This window comes from Homo sapiens, chromosome 1, assembly GCF_000001405.40.
Source record: "Homo sapiens chromosome 1, GRCh38.p14 Primary Assembly".
In the NCBI taxonomy this organism is placed as follows: domain Eukaryota; kingdom Metazoa; phylum Chordata; class Mammalia; order Primates; family Hominidae; genus Homo; species Homo sapiens.
The window spans coordinates 156737303-156753175 of record NC_000001.11 but is presented as its reverse complement, the minus strand read 5'-3'; the positions used below and the strand labels follow the sequence as shown (position 1 = coordinate 156753175).

At 54.0% G+C, this 15873-nt stretch overlaps 2 protein-coding genes across 17 annotated transcripts in view, besides 13 other annotated features; both read left to right on the top strand.

Annotated features, from left to right (window-relative positions):
* HDGF (heparin binding growth factor) overlaps positions 1-11069 on the top strand; it is a 25260-nt gene extending 14191 nt beyond the window's left edge. For 2 of the 13 annotated variants that reach the window (XM_047418832.1, XM_047418831.1), the window contains exons 4-8: positions 7803-7879; positions 8030-8168; positions 8828-9013; positions 9298-9524; positions 9721-11069. In XM_047418832.1, the coding sequence (XP_047274788.1) occupies positions 7812-7879; positions 8030-8168; positions 8828-9013; positions 9298-9524; positions 9721-9727 (627 nt within the window). In that variant the 5' untranslated portion in view covers positions 7803-7811 and the 3' untranslated portion in view covers positions 9728-11069. 13 annotated transcript variants of the gene reach the window in all.
* Positions 1027-1466: a silencer, noted in NCBI's record as "silent region_1437". NCBI's record gives its function as "represses an Ori minimal core promoter by ATAC-STARR-seq in GM12878 lymphoblastoid cells {active_cell/tissue: GM12878}" and the evidence as "EXISTENCE:reporter gene assay evidence [ECO:0000049][PMID:35858748]".
* Positions 1027-1900: a biological region, named in NCBI's record as "H3K27ac hESC enhancer GRCh37_chr1:156721068-156721842".
* Positions 1126-1900: an enhancer, noted in NCBI's record as "H3K27ac hESC enhancer chr1:156721068-156721842 (GRCh37/hg19 assembly coordinates)". NCBI's record gives its function as "activates a minimal SCP1, AML or CMV promoter by ChIP-STARR-seq in naive H9 embryonic stem cells {active_cell/tissue: H9 hESC(naive)}" and the evidence as "EXISTENCE:reporter gene assay evidence [ECO:0000049][PMID:30033119]".
* Positions 1577-1646: a silencer, noted in NCBI's record as "silent region_1436". NCBI's record gives its function as "represses an Ori minimal core promoter by ATAC-STARR-seq in GM12878 lymphoblastoid cells {active_cell/tissue: GM12878}" and the evidence as "EXISTENCE:reporter gene assay evidence [ECO:0000049][PMID:35858748]".
* Positions 1827-1886: a silencer, noted in NCBI's record as "silent region_1435". NCBI's record gives its function as "represses an Ori minimal core promoter by ATAC-STARR-seq in GM12878 lymphoblastoid cells {active_cell/tissue: GM12878}" and the evidence as "EXISTENCE:reporter gene assay evidence [ECO:0000049][PMID:35858748]".
* Positions 3825-4521: an enhancer, noted in NCBI's record as "H3K27ac-H3K4me1 hESC enhancer chr1:156718447-156719143 (GRCh37/hg19 assembly coordinates)". NCBI's record gives its function as "activates a minimal SCP1, AML or CMV promoter by ChIP-STARR-seq in naive H9 embryonic stem cells {active_cell/tissue: H9 hESC(naive)}" and the evidence as "EXISTENCE:reporter gene assay evidence [ECO:0000049][PMID:30033119]".
* Positions 4522-5219: an enhancer, noted in NCBI's record as "H3K27ac-H3K4me1 hESC enhancer chr1:156717749-156718446 (GRCh37/hg19 assembly coordinates)". NCBI's record gives its function as "activates a minimal SCP1, AML or CMV promoter by ChIP-STARR-seq in naive H9 embryonic stem cells {active_cell/tissue: H9 hESC(naive)}" and the evidence as "EXISTENCE:reporter gene assay evidence [ECO:0000049][PMID:30033119]".
* Positions 5220-5917: an enhancer, noted in NCBI's record as "NANOG-H3K27ac-H3K4me1 hESC enhancer chr1:156717051-156717748 (GRCh37/hg19 assembly coordinates)". NCBI's record gives its function as "activates a minimal SCP1, AML or CMV promoter by ChIP-STARR-seq in naive and primed H9 embryonic stem cells {active_cell/tissue: H9 hESC(naive and primed)}" and the evidence as "EXISTENCE:reporter gene assay evidence [ECO:0000049][PMID:30033119]".
* Positions 6183-6252: an enhancer, noted in NCBI's record as "active region_1878". NCBI's record gives its function as "activates an Ori minimal core promoter by ATAC-STARR-seq in GM12878 lymphoblastoid cells {active_cell/tissue: GM12878}" and the evidence as "EXISTENCE:reporter gene assay evidence [ECO:0000049][PMID:35858748]".
* Positions 6273-6472: an enhancer, noted in NCBI's record as "active region_1877". NCBI's record gives its function as "activates an Ori minimal core promoter by ATAC-STARR-seq in GM12878 lymphoblastoid cells {active_cell/tissue: GM12878}" and the evidence as "EXISTENCE:reporter gene assay evidence [ECO:0000049][PMID:35858748]".
* Positions 10460-15873, top strand: MRPL24 (mitochondrial ribosomal protein L24). 4 transcript variants are annotated; one of them, XM_011509982.3, is made up of 6 exons: positions 10460-11996; positions 14412-14654; positions 14738-14833; positions 15042-15145; positions 15400-15530; positions 15642-15873. In XM_011509982.3, the coding sequence occupies exons 2-6, from the start codon at positions 14472-14474 to the stop codon at positions 15776-15778; spliced, it is 651 nt and encodes a 216-aa protein (XP_011508284.1). In that variant the 5' UTR covers positions 10460-11996; positions 14412-14471; the 3' UTR covers positions 15779-15873. The 4 variants fall into 4 exon arrangements, with proteins under 4 accessions (XP_011508284.1, NP_078816.2, NP_663781.1 ...); NM_024540.4 differs by lacking the exon at positions 10460-11996 and adding an exon at positions 12088-12123; NM_145729.3 differs by lacking the exon at positions 10460-11996 and adding an exon at positions 12088-12164.
* Positions 10980-11957: an enhancer, noted in NCBI's record as "NANOG-H3K27ac hESC enhancer chr1:156711011-156711988 (GRCh37/hg19 assembly coordinates)". NCBI's record gives its function as "activates a minimal SCP1, AML or CMV promoter by ChIP-STARR-seq in naive H9 embryonic stem cells {active_cell/tissue: H9 hESC(naive)}" and the evidence as "EXISTENCE:reporter gene assay evidence [ECO:0000049][PMID:30033119]".
* Positions 10980-12453: a biological region, named in NCBI's record as "NANOG-H3K27ac hESC enhancer GRCh37_chr1:156711011-156711988".
* Positions 11714-12453: an enhancer, noted in NCBI's record as "active region_1876". NCBI's record gives its function as "activates an Ori minimal core promoter by ATAC-STARR-seq in GM12878 lymphoblastoid cells {active_cell/tissue: GM12878}" and the evidence as "EXISTENCE:reporter gene assay evidence [ECO:0000049][PMID:35858748]".

Below are 15873 nucleotides of genomic sequence, written 5' to 3'. Positions count from 1 at the left end.
AAACATATTGCCATGGACATAAGGACAGCCAAGTGTCATGCAGGACTCTGGGAACAACTGCAGGCATCCCCTAGTGACAAGCAGCCATTCTATGCCTCTGTTGTTAGTTACCAGGGCAGTCATGTTATCCCATCTTACAGCAGAGGAAACTGAGGCTTAGAGTTCAGGAGGTTGTCCAAGTTCTCAGGACAGATGAACAGCAGGGTAGGATGTGGGTTTGGAACTTTTGGCTACATCCTGGACTTCCTTGCAGGGAGACTTTGCATATGCTTTGAAATAGGATCAGGAAACGTGGGAAGAAAAACATGCATATGTTTTACCTATTCAAACCTAGCATATTTTGTTGCTAAATTTTAAGGACGTGTATATGCCGTAACATAAGATCCAAATATCTTATTTCTAAGGGAACATAGGTGTCTGGAATGTGGGCAAATACAGTGACAGCAAATCAAAGATGTAATTACAATAAAGTCTTATTTAGCTTAATGGAAGAGACCTGAGTTCAAGTTTTGGTTCTATCACTTCTTAGCATATAACCTAGGCCAAAATGTAGTCTCGCAGAATTTGGCAAAATTCTACTCATTCTTTAATGCCCAGTTCAGTCATCACCTTTGTGAAGCCTTCCCAGACCCCCCTCCCCACCTCCGAAAAGAGGTAGCACCTGGCCCCTCGGTCTTCACAGTTTACTGAAGGGGTTGGGTTTATTGGCATTCTACCGTAACCGACTAGAACTGAGCTCATCTTTGCGGGGTTAGCTAGCCGTTGAGTCCAAGTCTCCTTGGCAAGACAGTAGCTTAGAGAAACGAGATCGAATGCACCCGGAAGGTGGCCAATTTGTGCCTCAACTCCTTGGCCATCTCCTGGCTACCAAACTCAAGCGTTTCCTCCTTAGCAAAGGCGGACGTAGGGCTCAAATCCCCGACGTTTCCAGGGCCACCCCCCATACGGTAAGCACGGCGAGGTCCAGAGAGGACCCCAGTGCGCGGAGCGGCACGGCGCCCACTCCTCTCGCCCTCGGCGCCTAGCACGCTGCCAAGAACCGCGGGTGCCCAGTAAATATTTGTGGATTGAGATGGAGCAGAGGGCAGGCGGAAACCGTGTACAGACGTCCACACTTAACTGCGCTGGGGCCGCGGTGGTGAGCGCTCCGCGGAGTCGGGGGAAGGGCGGGGGCCGCTCCGTCCAGCCGGGCGCCAGCTCCTCCCGGGCGGGCGGGCACCCACCGACCGCGGGCACACAAAGCCTGCTCGGCGTGCTCGGCGATCGGCTCCTTATGCCTGTGCCGCCACGCGCCGTCAGGCGGCTCCGGGTTGGGCGTTGGGCCGTGGCAGGCCCTGGGCGTCAAGAAGCTGCACGCATCAAACCGCCGCGGGAGGGAGCGCGAGGTTGGGGGGCGGGGGGAGGAGGAGGAGTGGGTCCGGGAGGAGGGAGGAGGAGGAGTGGGGACCGGGCGGGGGGTGGAGGAAGAGGCCTCGCGCAGAGGAGGGAGCAATTGAATTTCAAACACAAACAACTGCACGAGCGCGCACCCACCGCGCCGGAGCCTTGCCCCGATCCGCGCCCGCCCCGTCCGTGCGGCGCGCGGGCGGAGACGCCGTGGCCGCGCCGGAGCTCGGGCCGGGGGCCACCATCGAGGCGGGGGCCGCGCGAGGGCCGGAGCGGAGCGGCGCCGCCACCGCCGCACGCGCAAACTTGGGCTCGCGCTTCCCGGCCCGGCGCGGAGCCCGGGGCGCCCGGAGCCCCGCCATGTCGCGATCCAACCGGCAGAAGGAGTACAAATGCGGGGACCTGGTGTTCGCCAAGATGAAGGGCTACCCACACTGGCCGGCCCGGGTGAGCAGCGCGGCCCGCCGCCCCCTAACCCCCTGCGGGCTTGGGTTGCATAACACCGGGAAGGGCACGAGCGCTCCGCGCGGAGCGGGCAGAGGTGGGGGCAGGGGGCTTGTAGGTCTCCGGCTCTTTCTCTGTCGCTTCCAAGCCCACCCGCCGGTTATATAATGGTGGAGGCGGGCGGGGGTGGGGGTAGACACCTGGCGGGCACGGCGTCCGCGCGTAGTGGCGTGTTCACGGCGTGGGGATCCGAGGGCGCCGGTCACTTCCCGGCCCCCAGCTCCGCGTGCTCAGTTCCGCCCCCAGCCCCCATACTCCCAGAGGTTTCGAGCGCGAAGTCTGGCTTTGGGCCAGTCGTGTTATTCCTTCCCCCGACCCCAGGCGCCGCCGCCACCCCCTTTAAGACCCCCTTAGAGACCCCTAGTTTGTTCGTGGATTGTCGCCCCTAATTCAAACTCTTCTCTTCGTGGATAAATGGTTAAGAAGGATCCCAACCCGGAGAGGGCTAGATGGAGGCGGAGTTCGCTTCTAGGAAACTTTGGTTTGGGGCATCTGTAAGAGGTCTAAAGTTGGAAAGGTCGAAGGATCGTTGGGGGCGGCGTAAGGGGATCTACCTGGCTTGGAAATTATCCGTCAGAACCCATCAGCCCTCAGCTCCACAGAAATATTCCTCCATATGCTGCCAACTCAAATTTAGGATTGAGGTGGCAGATTCCCTTGTGGTATTAGGAAGTCCAGTACAGACTGCCTCTTAGTAGGGGTTAGGGGAGCCCAAGTTCCTTCCCCCGCTCAGATGTGAAGATCTTCCGCCAGAACGGCCCAGTCTCTGCCATGTGGTTAATTCAGCCAGCCAGTATGAGCCCCCCCCACAACCCCAGCACCTGGCCAGGTGGGAGGGTGGGGCCCTGCAGCCAAGCCTGGTGTGCTCATCATGTTTCCCCTAAGGACTGAGACAGGTTAAGTAAGGAGGATGGGAGGTTGCCAGTTGCTGGAGGAAAGGAGGGGGGATGCGGGGGCAGTGCATTTGGCAACTTAAAGTTGGTGTAGAGGGGCCTTTGGTTTTGGGCGAGGGCATGACTCAGTATCCTAGAGTGTAGGACTCCTGTAGAGTAAAATCCAAGGGCAGAAGGACTGCATATCTTTGGGGTGCTCTTCTCAGTGTAAGTCTGTGTCTGTCTGGCCCAGGCTTATTCAGGGTATCAGGCCAACTTTGGGGCCACTCAGAAAACTCAGAGACCCTTCCTCGCTCTGTACCCACTCCTCAGGAGTGTGCCTAATCCCACATGCCTTGAGCTCCTGGTTCCGTGAAACTTTCAGATGGATCAAATGAGGACCGGCTTCCGCTATTGGGAGTGAAGTACAAAGAGAAGCGGGACTCTCTGCGTTACAACTCTCCTGTACTTTACCCTGCACCCTTTGACCCAGCTGGCTTCTTGGCCCAGATGCCAAGGCCCTGGTGGGTAGGACAAGAACTGAACCCAGGTCTCTACTGTTCCTACCTCCTGAGGGTGGGACAAAGTCCAGAGGCTGGACTAAGCCCTTGGGGAGTGGGTGTTAGCTGGAATGTGGGTTGCAGGGAACCCCTTCTGCATCCGGTAAGAGAGAAAAGGGGCAGGGACACAGCAGGACCCACACTGGCCCCTGTGAGGAAGACCTCAAGTTTCTGGTGGCCTTTGGAGTAAGGGCAGTCCCTAGGACTAGGGATCCCATCCATTTTCTCTCCACTTTGGGCCTCCAGGACAGAAGGGAAGGACAGGGGAGGCAGCGTTTCTTCCTCTGTTGAGGCCTGGACCTTTTAGATAAAGTTAGAACTGGGGTAGGGAGATCAGCCTGGATCTCAAAGAGGTGGGGCCCCACACTTTGCCTGTCTCTGGCTCTTGATTGTGATACTTGCAGGGATGGCTACACCCAAGGCTGTTACCTCCCAGACACAGTCCCCTTGTACTCCAAAAGAACAGACCTCGAGTCTCCTCACCATTCCTTGGACCGTGTCTTAGTCCCTAGAGAGGCAGAGCCTGAGGGGCCCTTCCTGAGATGGATGAGAAGTAAGAGGGAACCTCACTGACTCGTCCATCTCATAGGAAACCCAAATCTTCAGCCATAAAGAAGGCCCGTGTGTGGATTTTCCTTCCTCAGTCCCTGCTGCTGGGGAGGGTGGGTGATTCTGGGTGAAACTAGAAGGTCCCAGTGCTTGAGAGAGAGCCCAGCCAGAGGGGCCACGTGATAGGCAGGACCTGCCTGGAAGGATGGTGTGACTCCATCTTAACCTTCTCCTTTCCCTCTTCCGCCTGCCTAACTTCCTGGGGGATCTCCAAGTTCTTAACAATTAACCTCCAAGACTTCAGGGATTTTCCCCCCTGATCCCTTTCTGCTTTTGCTGCTTCCTGTTTCACAATCCCAGAAAACCTGGGCAGCCAGGACCTCACCCGTCTTTCCTCCCGGTGCCCCTTCCCCCTGTACCTTCTCTTTTCTGCCTCTTGGGCTTGCCACACTTTCCTGGCCCCAACTGTCTCCTGCCCCAGATTTTCCGGTTCCTGGGTCAGGTTAGGCCTCAGCCCTGGGTGTGGTGGTCAGAACCCTGGCTGGTAGCCAGTGTGTGCTTAGCCTTCCCTGCTGCCTTCCTAAGTGCTGGGTCTGTTTTTAGTCTGAGGCTGGGGGAGAGGTGTTCAGTTCTCTTTCCCCACTCTACCTGAAAACTTCGGATTACTCTTTGGACCTCAGAGGGTGTCTGTGGCTTGGGAGGCTGGTGTTTCATGTGCTCAGGCCTGTCTGATGGAATCGGGCAAATGCAAGGCCTAAGAATAAGTAACTTGCCTGGATCTGGAATGGTTAAGAGGTAGCCGAGTTCCCCTATTGCTGGCTAGTGGAGGGGGTACCGTGGGGTCCCCAGCACTATTTGGCCCCACCCTGACCCAGTTAGCCTTGACTCACTTGTTTTGAGTCACAGCCTGGATACAAAGGCACCACCTGGAAGACAGATGTCTGTATTGGGGTACAGGGCTGCCCTGAGACCTCATAACCTCTACATCTAGGAAGAACTGCCCTCCACTTCCAAATGTAAGAAAGGACATTTTCTTTGTAGCTTGAGGGATAGAGGTGTCACTGTAGAAGGGATTTCTCCTCTTTTGGGTGAAGGGTTAGAAATTCCATCAAGTGAGAAGAGCACACCTCCCCTGGCCCTTCCCCACAAGTGCCTATACTCTAGGTGAGGGAGCCAGGTGGGATGATGCTTTGGGGGGAGATGCCTATCTGCTCAGGCCCCTGTCTTCCTCTCTCTTCCCTCTAGACCCATCCTTTATGTAGCTAGAAGTCAGCAGGGCTGGCATATCTGGTGTGCCTCATGCTATTTTTAATCCCATTCGTTCTTTTGTTTCTCCCCCACTGCTGGGGCTGGGCAGCTGGTGGCCTCCTGGGTCCCCTGCCACACCATTCAGCTATCTGCCTCTGAGTGTGCTTTCCATGGGAAGCTGGGGTGGCACGAGACGGTGGCCAGGTAGCCACTTTGCAGTCTGTGCTTCTGCAAAGAACCTCATTTCTCCTTATTTCTGAACTTTCACCCACACACACCCTCTTATGAAGCCTCAGTTTCTCCTCTTCCATCACGCATTTACTGTGGGCATCTTAATGCCCTGGCTCAGGTGTGGGCACTGAAAATACAGAGCTCTAAGTCCCAGCCTTAGACCCTTCAGTCCCCACCCCCACCCCTGGTTCTGGGTGCACACAGATCCACAGAAGAAAGGCCTAGGAAAGGCGTTTGCTATTATTGTCCTATGCCTGTCTCCTGGGATCTCTAACCCCTGGGGGCGCTCGTTTTGTTTTTTGCTTCCCCCTGTTAAGAGGAGGATGGGAGCTAGCTGGTAACAGGACCCAGGCGTCCTGGCTGAGGACCGACTCCTCTGTCCCTGCTCCAGGTCTGGCTTCCTGAGAAGGACGCCCCCTTTCGCCCCGTACCCCCTGCAGCGGTAATCCAGCCCTAGCTGTGGTTTCCAGCACAGCCGGGGACCCAGGTGCCAGACTGCAGGCTTGGGGGTGGGGTGTGTTAGTGTCCCTTCCTCCCCAATCCGGAGAGAAGGCGGCGGGGCGGGGGGGGGGGGGCGGGGGGGAGGGGGGAGGGGCGGTCACATTCCTGGTTGCTGAGTGGCCCCGGGGGCGGGGTTGCGTTGTCATGGCGATGGGGATCGTGTTTGTAGGGGGAACTGCGTGCCTTTCCACCCCCTGCTCTCACACCCAGCGTCTCCTGGTTGTGGGAAGGGCCCAGTTTGTGCTGGGCCTTCCTGGGGGGGAAGGGCTGGACCTCTGTCCCCAGAGGCCACGGGGCAAGCGGGGAGGTGCCCAAAAGCCTGAAGATTCCAAGTCTGGAGCAAGATGCCCCTCAGATTCATGCCCAGGGCCCCACCCCTTCTCCTGGGTGTGTCTCAGCGCATTCCCATCCACCCTGTCTCCCCAGGCCCCCAGTTGGGCCCTCTGTCCCTGTCTCTGTGTGTTAATCACTGCCTTGGCCTTTCTGTCTCTCCTGTTTGCGCCTGGGGCCCCAGTCATCATGGCCACCTGGCCTCTGTCCGGCGGGAAGCCTGGCTGCTGGGGCTGCTGCAAGTGCTGCTGGGAGTTGTAGTCCCCACCCGCCCCACCTTCCCCCACGACCCACCCCTGGCTCAGCTTGGCCTGGGCTTCCAGGCCTGATCTGGGAGAGGCTGGCGAGGCCACTGCCTCTGGATTCCCTGACCTCAGATTTCTGCACCTCTCACCTTCACCACAGCGCTTCTCACCACGGGGACACGTGGGGCGGGGGATTTAGTCAGGTGACCTGAGACCTGGCCCTCAACAACTTGCTATGTTATTTTGGGCAAATCACTTGTTTTCTGGGCTCAGTTTCCTCATCTGTAAAATGAGAGTTTGACTATGTGCCTTTCAGAGTTCCCTAGAAGCCTTTTGGCGGGCGTTGGATAGGCAGCCCTTTGACCTCACCCCTCCACTTCAGCCAGAGCAGCTTCCTTTTAGCTGTTTGGTAAATTCATTCAGTAAATAATTATATACCTACTGTATGCTAAGCACCGTGCTGCAGATAAAAGCAGAGCTGGTCTCTGACCTTGGGGCTGGTCTAGTCCAGATAGTGCACATAGATGTTAAATAATAATGTGAATCAGTGTAAAATTAGAACTGGGAAAGCACTGTAAAGGGGAAGTCTTAGGAAAGAGTTTTACCTAGGGAGTCGGCCAGGCCAGGAGTGATAGGGAAGCTTTCTGGAGGAAGTAATGGCGGAGCTGAGGCTATAAGGATGATCAGGAGTGAGTGAGTATTAGAGACTGCAAGAACCATGGTCAGAGCAGAAAAGACAGTGTACTGGGAGAGGCTGATGAAAGCAAAGACGTGTAGGATGTACCACATGCCAAGTTATGGTCATTTCATCCTCACAGCCCTATAGCTTTAGTACTATGACTGTCTCCCTTTTACAGATGAGGAAACTGAGGCAGAGAGATGTTCAGTAAGTTGCACAAAGTCATACAAGTGGGGGCAGAGTTGGGATTCAGATCTTGCCATTGTGCAGAAGGGGTGAACAGGTGGGTTCTAGAGTCCTTAAAAGGTATTGAAGGGTTTTGAAGCAAGGGGACGAAATCCTTGGACCAACATTCCCAAAGGCCCACTCTGGCTGCATTGTGGAGAATAGATTGTGGAGAATGGAGAAGGTGATGGCAAAGTCAGGGGGCTTTGTGGCCAGACATGTTGGGAGGCAGAATGGGTGCTGTCTGGCTGGTGACGGAGAGGGAAGGATTCCTGGGTTTCTGTTGGGCTTTCATGTCTGACTTCATTTGAATAAAGTGTCACTGCTAAAAATGGCCCAAAAGCCATCTTGCTGACTATCCTGGGTCCCTCTCAGTCTGATTTTATATAAATGTGCCTTGGAGGTCAGCACCCCTGCCTCAGGCTCAAAACCTCAGGACTCTAGCTAACCTCACCCCCTCATCTCACCCCAGATTGACGAGATGCCTGAGGCTGCCGTGAAATCAACAGCCAACAAATACCAAGTCTTTTTTTTCGGGACCCACGAGACGTGAGTGGAGGCCAAAGGGGTATAGGTCGGGAGGGCCCCGGGAGGACTACTCTGGGGAAGGTGAGGTGGTGTTGGTGCCCCTTTCATGCCGGGCTGTGCAGCTCAGGGGCAGTGAGGGGCTTGAGAGCACAGTCTCCCATCTCTCACCAGGGCATTCCTGGGCCCCAAAGACCTCTTCCCTTACGAGGAATCCAAGGAGAAGTTTGGCAAGCCCAACAAGAGGAAAGGGTTCAGCGAGGGGCTGTGGGAGATCGAGAACAACCCTACTGTCAAGGCTTCCGGCTATCAGGTGAGCCACCGCCTGCCCCAGAGACCCCCTGGAAAGCAGATGTGGCTGTGGGCTCTGGCAGCCCCCGGCCCACAGATGATGCTTAGTCTTCAGAAACTCCAGGGCTTTCAGGGTAGGAGCTAATCAGGGTGGTGGGAAGGGGGCTTCCTGCAAGAAGGGATAGGGTTGGGCTGTGTGGTGTAGTTGTGGTTAGGGACAACTGTGAGACAGCAGTCTGGGGGGCAAGAACAGGATGGAGGCGGTAAGTGGGGACAGGCCTTTGTTGGGCCTAGTGTGAGTATAGGACACAGCCTTAACTCTTTCCACAAAGGCTTCCAGGAGGAGGTGCTTGTGAGCCGGGCAGGACGAGGCGGGAGGGTGGGGGGCGGGGGTTGGCGGGGAAAGGGTCCTAGCTCCCTTTGGGAGAAGTTGACCCGAGGTTTTGCCTCCTGCTCCAGCCCTCCCCCCTCCTGCACAGAGCCCTGCCTGCCCGGCCAGTGGGTTTACCCCGGGGCTAATCCGACAGAGGTGGGTCTCAAATCACTCGTGAGACTGGGCACCTGGGTGGGGGTGGGGGAGAGGCGGGAAAAGGAAGGAGTGAGTGGCTGAGGGAGGGTCTGGGGAGGGGGCCCAGCATGGCAGCGACTGGTGCCACTCAGCCTGTGCTGTCTCTGCTGCAGTCCTCCCAGAAAAAGAGCTGTGTGGAAGAGCCTGAACCAGAGCCCGAAGCTGCAGAGGGTGACGGTGATAAGAAGGGGAATGCAGAGGGCAGCAGCGACGAGGAAGGGAAGCTGGTCATTGATGAGCCAGCCAAGGAGAAGAACGAGAAAGGAGCGTTGAAGAGGAGAGCAGGGGACTTGCTGGAGGTAACTGCTGCCTGCCCAGGGCCTGGGCCCCCCTCAACATTCCCCATGGGGTATCCCACAGGAGCAGGGCTTTGCCTCAGGGGTGCCCAGTCTGAGAGGTCGATCCAGCCCCTAGTCTTGGGGAGTCCCCAGCTGACCAGATGGGACACAGAAGGCATTTCAGCTAGTAGGGTTGGGGAAGGACTGTGGGTGTCAGCCTGGGAAGGAGCCCCGGAGGAGAGGAGTGGGTGGCTGGTGGCCTCCCTCTCCAGCCTCAGCCCACTTCCTCTGTTGATCCTGCCTAGGACTCTCCTAAACGTCCCAAGGAGGCAGAAAACCCTGAAGGAGAGGAGAAGGAGGCAGCCACCTTGGAGGTTGAGAGGCCCCTTCCTATGGAGGTGGAAAAGAATAGCACCCCCTCTGAGCCCGGCTCTGGCCGGGGGCCTCCCCAAGAGGAAGAAGAGGAGGAGGATGAAGAGGAAGAGGCTACCAAGGAAGATGCTGAGGCCCCAGGCATCAGAGATCATGAGAGGTGAGTGAGCCCCCTGACCCCTTGGCAGCTGGACTAGGGGGGACCGGCCACTCTCGGAGAAGAGGATGAAAAGGGCCTGCAGTGGTCAGCCTCTCGGGAGGCAGGGTGGGCTCTCCTAGGAGACCGGCACTGGCTGGGGCAAGGCCAGGCCAAGGCCACACCATTAACCCTTCTCCCCTCCAACCCTCCCTCACAGCCTGTAGCCACCAATGTTTCAAGAGGAGCCCCCACCCTGTTCCTGCTGCTGTCTGGGTGCTACTGGGGAAACTGGCCATGGCCTGCAAACTGGGAACCCCTTTCCCACCCCAACCTGCTCTCCTCTTCTACTCACTTTTCCCACTCCAAGCCCAGCCCATGGAGATTGACCTGGATGGGGCAGGCCACCTGGCTCTCACCTCTAGGTCCCCATACTCCTATGATCTGAGTCAGAGCCATGTCTTCTCCCTGGAATGAGTTGAGGCCACTGTGTTCCTTCCGCTTGGAGCTATTTTCCAGGCTTCTGCTGGGGCCTGGGACAACTGCTCCCACCTCCTGACACCCTTCTCCCACTCTCCTAGGCATTCTGGACCTCTGGGTTGGGATCAGGGGTAGGAATGGAAAGGATGGAGCATCAACAGCAGGGTGGGCTTGTGGGGCCTGGGAGGGGCAATCCTCAAATGCGGGGTGGGGGCAGCACAGGAGGGCGGCCTCCTTCTGAGCTCCTGTCCCCTGCTACACCTATTATCCCAGCTGCCTAGATTCAGGGAAAGTGGGACAGCTTGTAGGGGAGGGGCTCCTTTCCATAAATCCTTGATGATTGACAACACCCATTTTTCCTTTTGCCGACCCCAAGAGTTTTGGGAGTTGTAGTTAATCATCAAGAGAATTTGGGGCTTCCAAGTTGTTCGGGCCAAGGACCTGAGACCTGAAGGGTTGACTTTACCCATTTGGGTGGGAGTGTTGAGCATCTGTCCCCCTTTAGATCTCTGAAGCCACAAATAGGATGCTTGGGAAGACTCCTAGCTGTCCTTTTTCCTCTCCACACAGTGCTCAAGGCCAGCTTATAGTCATATATATCACCCAGACATAAAGGAAAAGACACATTTTTTAGGAAATGTTTTTAATAAAAGAAAATTACAAAAAAAAATTTTAAAGACCCCTAACCCTTTGTGTGCTCTCCATTCTGCTCCTTCCCCATCGTTGCCCCCATTTCTGAGGTGCACTGGGAGGCTCCCCTTCTATTTGGGGCTTGATGACTTTCTTTTTGTAGCTGGGGCTTTGATGTTCCTTCCAGTGTCATTTCTCATCCACATACCCTGACCTGGCCCCCTCAGTGTTGTCACCAGATCTGATTTGTAACCCACTGAGAGGACAGAGAGAAATAAGTGCCCTCTCCCACCCTCTTCCTACTGGTCTCTCTATGCCTCTCTACAGTCTCGTCTCTTTTACCCTGGCCCCTCTCCCTTGGGCTCTGATGAAAAATTGCTGACTGTAGCTTTGGAAGTTTAGCTCTGAGAACCGTAGATGATTTCAGTTCTAGGAAAATAAAACCCGTTGATTACTATATTGGATTCTGACTGATTCTTTGGGGGTGTATTGGTTAACTGAAGACAGAAAGTGGGGTAATGGAATGCAAATGATTTCCAGGTCATCTCAGATTTAGGTAGAGGGTGTCAACCTCCTCCATTTTTAGGCATTTGGAAATCCAAACTTCTTGTGGGCAGAGTCGTAGAATAAACCACACCATTCATTCTACTCCTGCCCAGCCACTGTTTAACGCACCTGGGAAAGTTTTTTTTAAAAAAGGGTTTGCACAAGAAGTGGGGTGTGGGAGGATGCGAGTATCGGCCACAGCCCAAGATGGCCATGAAGTGGGAGTTTGGAGGCTGGTTGTATAAACAATTTGACCCCAAAGTGCAAGTCAAATAATAGGATAACCCTTTCTCCTTGCTAATGCTAGGGGTACCTGCCACCCTTAGCTGGTGATGGGGTGGTAGGGGGAGGGGGTTGGTAGGGTGAAATTCCGCCAGTACTCCCTGAGTTAAGTGGAATGACTGGTTTAGATCATTTCTGTTTCCTTCCAGATCTGACATTTTGTAACTAGATCGGCTACTAGCATTGGAAGGGCCCACGTTTCATCCCTTCCTCTAGAAAGCCTACCGGCAGTTTTTGAATCTGCCCTGCCCCCACTCCAGCAGAGAAGGACAGGGAGAGCATTGGCGGTAGCCCTGTCTGGAAAGGGCGGCCCTTTGCCTTGAACAGGAAGCCACAACCACCTAGAAAATGGAGCCTTCTTCTCTAGAAACTACAATTCCCAGCGGCCTCCACGCAGAGCATGCGCGGGAATGTGCCAGGCGGGCCAGCCGAACCAGCTTGCCTTTCGATTCCCGACATGCTTCATGGTGTGTTCCGGTTTCCTTGATTTCCTACCCCCGCCAAACTTCCTGTTTCCAGCTTTCTAGCGGCGGACTACAACTCCCAGCATGCTGAGAGGTAAGATTCGTGGTTGAGCTTCCGTTTTACACTTGGACTACAACTCCCAGAAAGTCGACGGGCGTGGCGGGGGAGGGGACGCTGAGGGCCCATGTGCTGAAAATCCGAAGTGCCGCGGAAAGTGGAGGTGAGGGCCGCCCGCCCTAGAGGTGCCCGTCCGAGAGGCAGGTGCGGGAAGAGCCTATCCTTTTCCCTGGCCATGGCTCAGTCGCCTCCCCAGGGTTTATTTGCACCGGAAGTTTGGAGCGGGTGGGTGCTGAAGACAGCTAGGCCTTGGCGATGTCTGGGATGAGGCTGGTGGGGGAAGCCTTTGGAGCCGTGACCTGAGAGGGCAGACCTTCGACCCCACTACATTGCACTGCGCCTTCAGAACATGCAGGGAAAACCCCACTGCGGGACGCTCACCAGCAGCATCTCCAGATTGTGAAGGGAAAGAAGGGAAGGATCTCGGGGGCATGCAAGCTGCTCTGGGCTGGGGTGGTTCAGACCTGGATTGACTGAGGTGAAGGGGCTCCTTGCAGCAATCACACAGAAGGCTCGGGTCTTAAGATTGGCCCTGCTCCTAGTCAAGCTGTATGAACCAGGGTAGTCACTCCGGCTTTCAGGGCCTTGATTTCCTTGTCTGTAAAAGGGACTTTACGATGCATCTGGCAACCTCACCTTCCTCACTGGGCAATGTGAAGACCAAATGCCGGCAATGAAATTCCCAGCATTAGGTTTGTCATATAGTAGTCCTCTCTAAGCATTTGTTGAATACTCACAGGAACACTTAGGCCAGTCAGCATTAATTGAAAATAACAGGTGGGGTTTTTTTTTGTTTGTTTTTGTTTCTTTTTCCGAAAATAACATCAGGCCTTTATACTGAGAAGTATAAAGAAGAAAAATGAGCCAGTATCTCACTGTTCAGATAAACCGTTAATACATATTTTTAAATGCACATGGTTAGAAAATGCAAACGTTACGGGAAGGAACAAAATGGAATTAACAGACCTCCCAAACAGTTCCTCTCCCCTTAAACAAGTACTTTGGTTTCTTGTTTCCTTTCCATAAATATAACTGTGCTGGAATATATATTTGTATATTTACCCCACAGGGATAATAATACATTATTTTGCACCTTGCTTTGTTAAAATATTTAAAATAATTTAAATGACACCCACAACCCTGTAAATGTTTATGGATGATGAAACTGAAATTCAAAAGTTAAATTGCTGGATGGGCGTGGTGGCTCACACCTGTAATCCCAGTACTCTGGGAGGCCAAGGCAGATGGATCACCTGAGGTCAGGAGTTCGAGACCAGCCTGGCCAACATGGTGAAACCCTGTCTCTACTAAAAATACAAAAAAAAAATTAGCGGGTCATGGTGGCACATGCCTGTAATCCTAGCTATTCAGGAGGCTGAGGCAGGAGAATCGCTTGAACCCAAGACGCAGAGGTCGTGGTGAGCTGAGATCATGCCACTGCACTCCAGCCTGGGCGACAGAACAAGACTCCGTCTCAGAAAAAAAAAAAAAAAAAAGTTAAGTTGCCTAGCGTCATACAGTAAGATGATGGTGGAGCAGGGAGTAGAACCCAGGTGGTCTGACTTCCTTGTCCAGGGCTCTTTATGCCATTGTAGTATCTTTATTTGTCTTTGAAGTTAGGGTTCATTTTTATCTATAAAATGAGGTTAATCATGACTTCTTCATTTGGTTGTCCTTAGGCATAAATGAGATACAGGAAAGCACTTAGCATGGCACGTGGTAAGTTGCAAGTATTCAGTTAACTGAAGCACTTACCATTTATGCCTTCAGTTCATTCACCACCTCATTAATTGAGAATCGAGTGGTTTAGAGAACATACTTAGTTGGGAAATTTAGGACTCAGTAATTCTAGAGTCTGGCCCTGGGTCCTTTTCCTTTAGAAAAGGAGCTATCTTAGGGAGGAGTGGTTATTTCCTATCTGAGGATAGGAATTCTAAGTGGGATAGGGACATTTTAACCCCAGTTTTTATTTCTGCTACCTATTTGTTCATTTCACTGATTTACAACTGCCTACCTTTTGGCCGTATGCCAGCGTTCCATCCTCTGTTTTCTTCCTATCCTGCTGTTCATACATTGATTTAATAAGTATTTGTTAAGCACCTACTAGGGGCCAAGCTCTGGATTCAAGAGTGAGATAGATAACATGGCCCTTGTCCTTAATGAATTTTTTGGACTTTGAAGTCAGATATATGTGGGTTTGAATACTGATTCTCCAATGTAGTAGCTTTGTAATCATAAGCAAGTTACTTGACCTTTCTATTTTCTCATCTATAAAGATGATAACCTCTTGTGAGGATTCAATGTGATGAGGTCCATTGAGCAATAGAGTAAGTGCTTTAAAAAATGTTCCTTCCCTTGCCTCTTTGTTCCCGTTTCTATCCATCTGCCCAGAGCTGACAAGGAAGGTTTCGAGCGTTTTGCTGGCAAAGGGATTTCTTACAACCTCCAGGCATGCGTCTTTCTGCCCTGCTGGCCTTGGCATCCAAGGTCACTCTGCCCCCCCATTACCGCTATGGGATGAGCCCCCCAGGCTCTGTTGCAGACAAGAGGAAGAACCCCCCATGGATCAGGCGGCGCCCAGTGGTTGTGGAACCCATCTCTGATGAAGACTGGTATCTGTTCTGTGGGGACACGGTGAGAGCCTCATACAGGGGGTAGAGTGATGGGGAACCTCCTGGGCAAGGATCCCCCTCCCTAACCTTCGTATCTTCCCACAGGTGGAGATCCTAGAAGGCAAGGATGCCGGGAAGCAGGGCAAAGTGGTTCAAGTTATCCGGCAGCGAAACTGGGTGGTCGTGGGAGGGCTGAACACAGTAAGTTGAGAGAGGGGATGGGGATGCTCAGGAAGCCTGTCTCATCTGTCCCTCTCCATTCAGAGCAGCACAGGGTGGCAGGAGACTGGCTGAGGGGATGGCGGCATTACTGAACCTTCTACTTTTCAACTTGGGCTGAATGCGCCGAGTAGCAAGGGCAAACCCCTTTCACACCCCGTGCTTTCTGACACTCCCCTCTCTTGGACAGCATTACCGCTACATTGGCAAGACCATGGATTACCGGGGAACCATGATCCCTAGTGAAGCCCCCTTGCTCCACCGCCAGGTCAAACTTGTGGATCCTATGGACAGGCAAGCAACGGGGCTCTGGGCAGAGGGTTTCTCACCCTCTGGGTCCAAAAAGTGCTGTCCAATGGGAATGGTGGGTTGGATGCTCTGGAAATTAAGAGGGACCATCTCATGGACATGATTCCCTGCGGGTAACCCCAACACAGAGGTGGAGAAACGCGGTGGTAACCCTTGTGTTTTGAACCACTGACTCTTTTGGGTTGGAGGGTGGCAGGAAGCCTGGCTCGTAGGCCAGGCTCACCTCTTCTATCCACCAGGAAACCCACTGAGATCGAGTGGAGATTTACTGAAGCAGGAGAGCGGGTACGAGTCTCCACACGATCAGGGAGAATTATCCCTAAACCCGAATTTCCCAGAGCTGATGGCATCGTCCCTGAAACGTGGATTGGTGAGAGTGAGGGGCAGGAAGGTCAGGGGTGGGTGCTAGGAGTGAGAGTAGGGGACATTAATGAAAGTTGGCAAGCCCTCCCACCCATCTAAGTTTCCTCTGGCTTAACAGATGGCCCCAAAGACACATCAGTGGAAGATGCTTTAGAAAGAACCTATGTGCCCTGTCTAAAGACACTGCAGGAGGAGGTGATGGAGGCCATGGGGATCAAGGAGACCCGGAAATACAAGAAGGTCTATTGGTATTGAGCCTGGGGCAGAGCAGCTCCTCCCCAACTTCTGTCCCAGCCTTGAAGGCTGAGGCACTTCTTTTTCAGATGCCAATAAAGAGCACTTTATGAGTC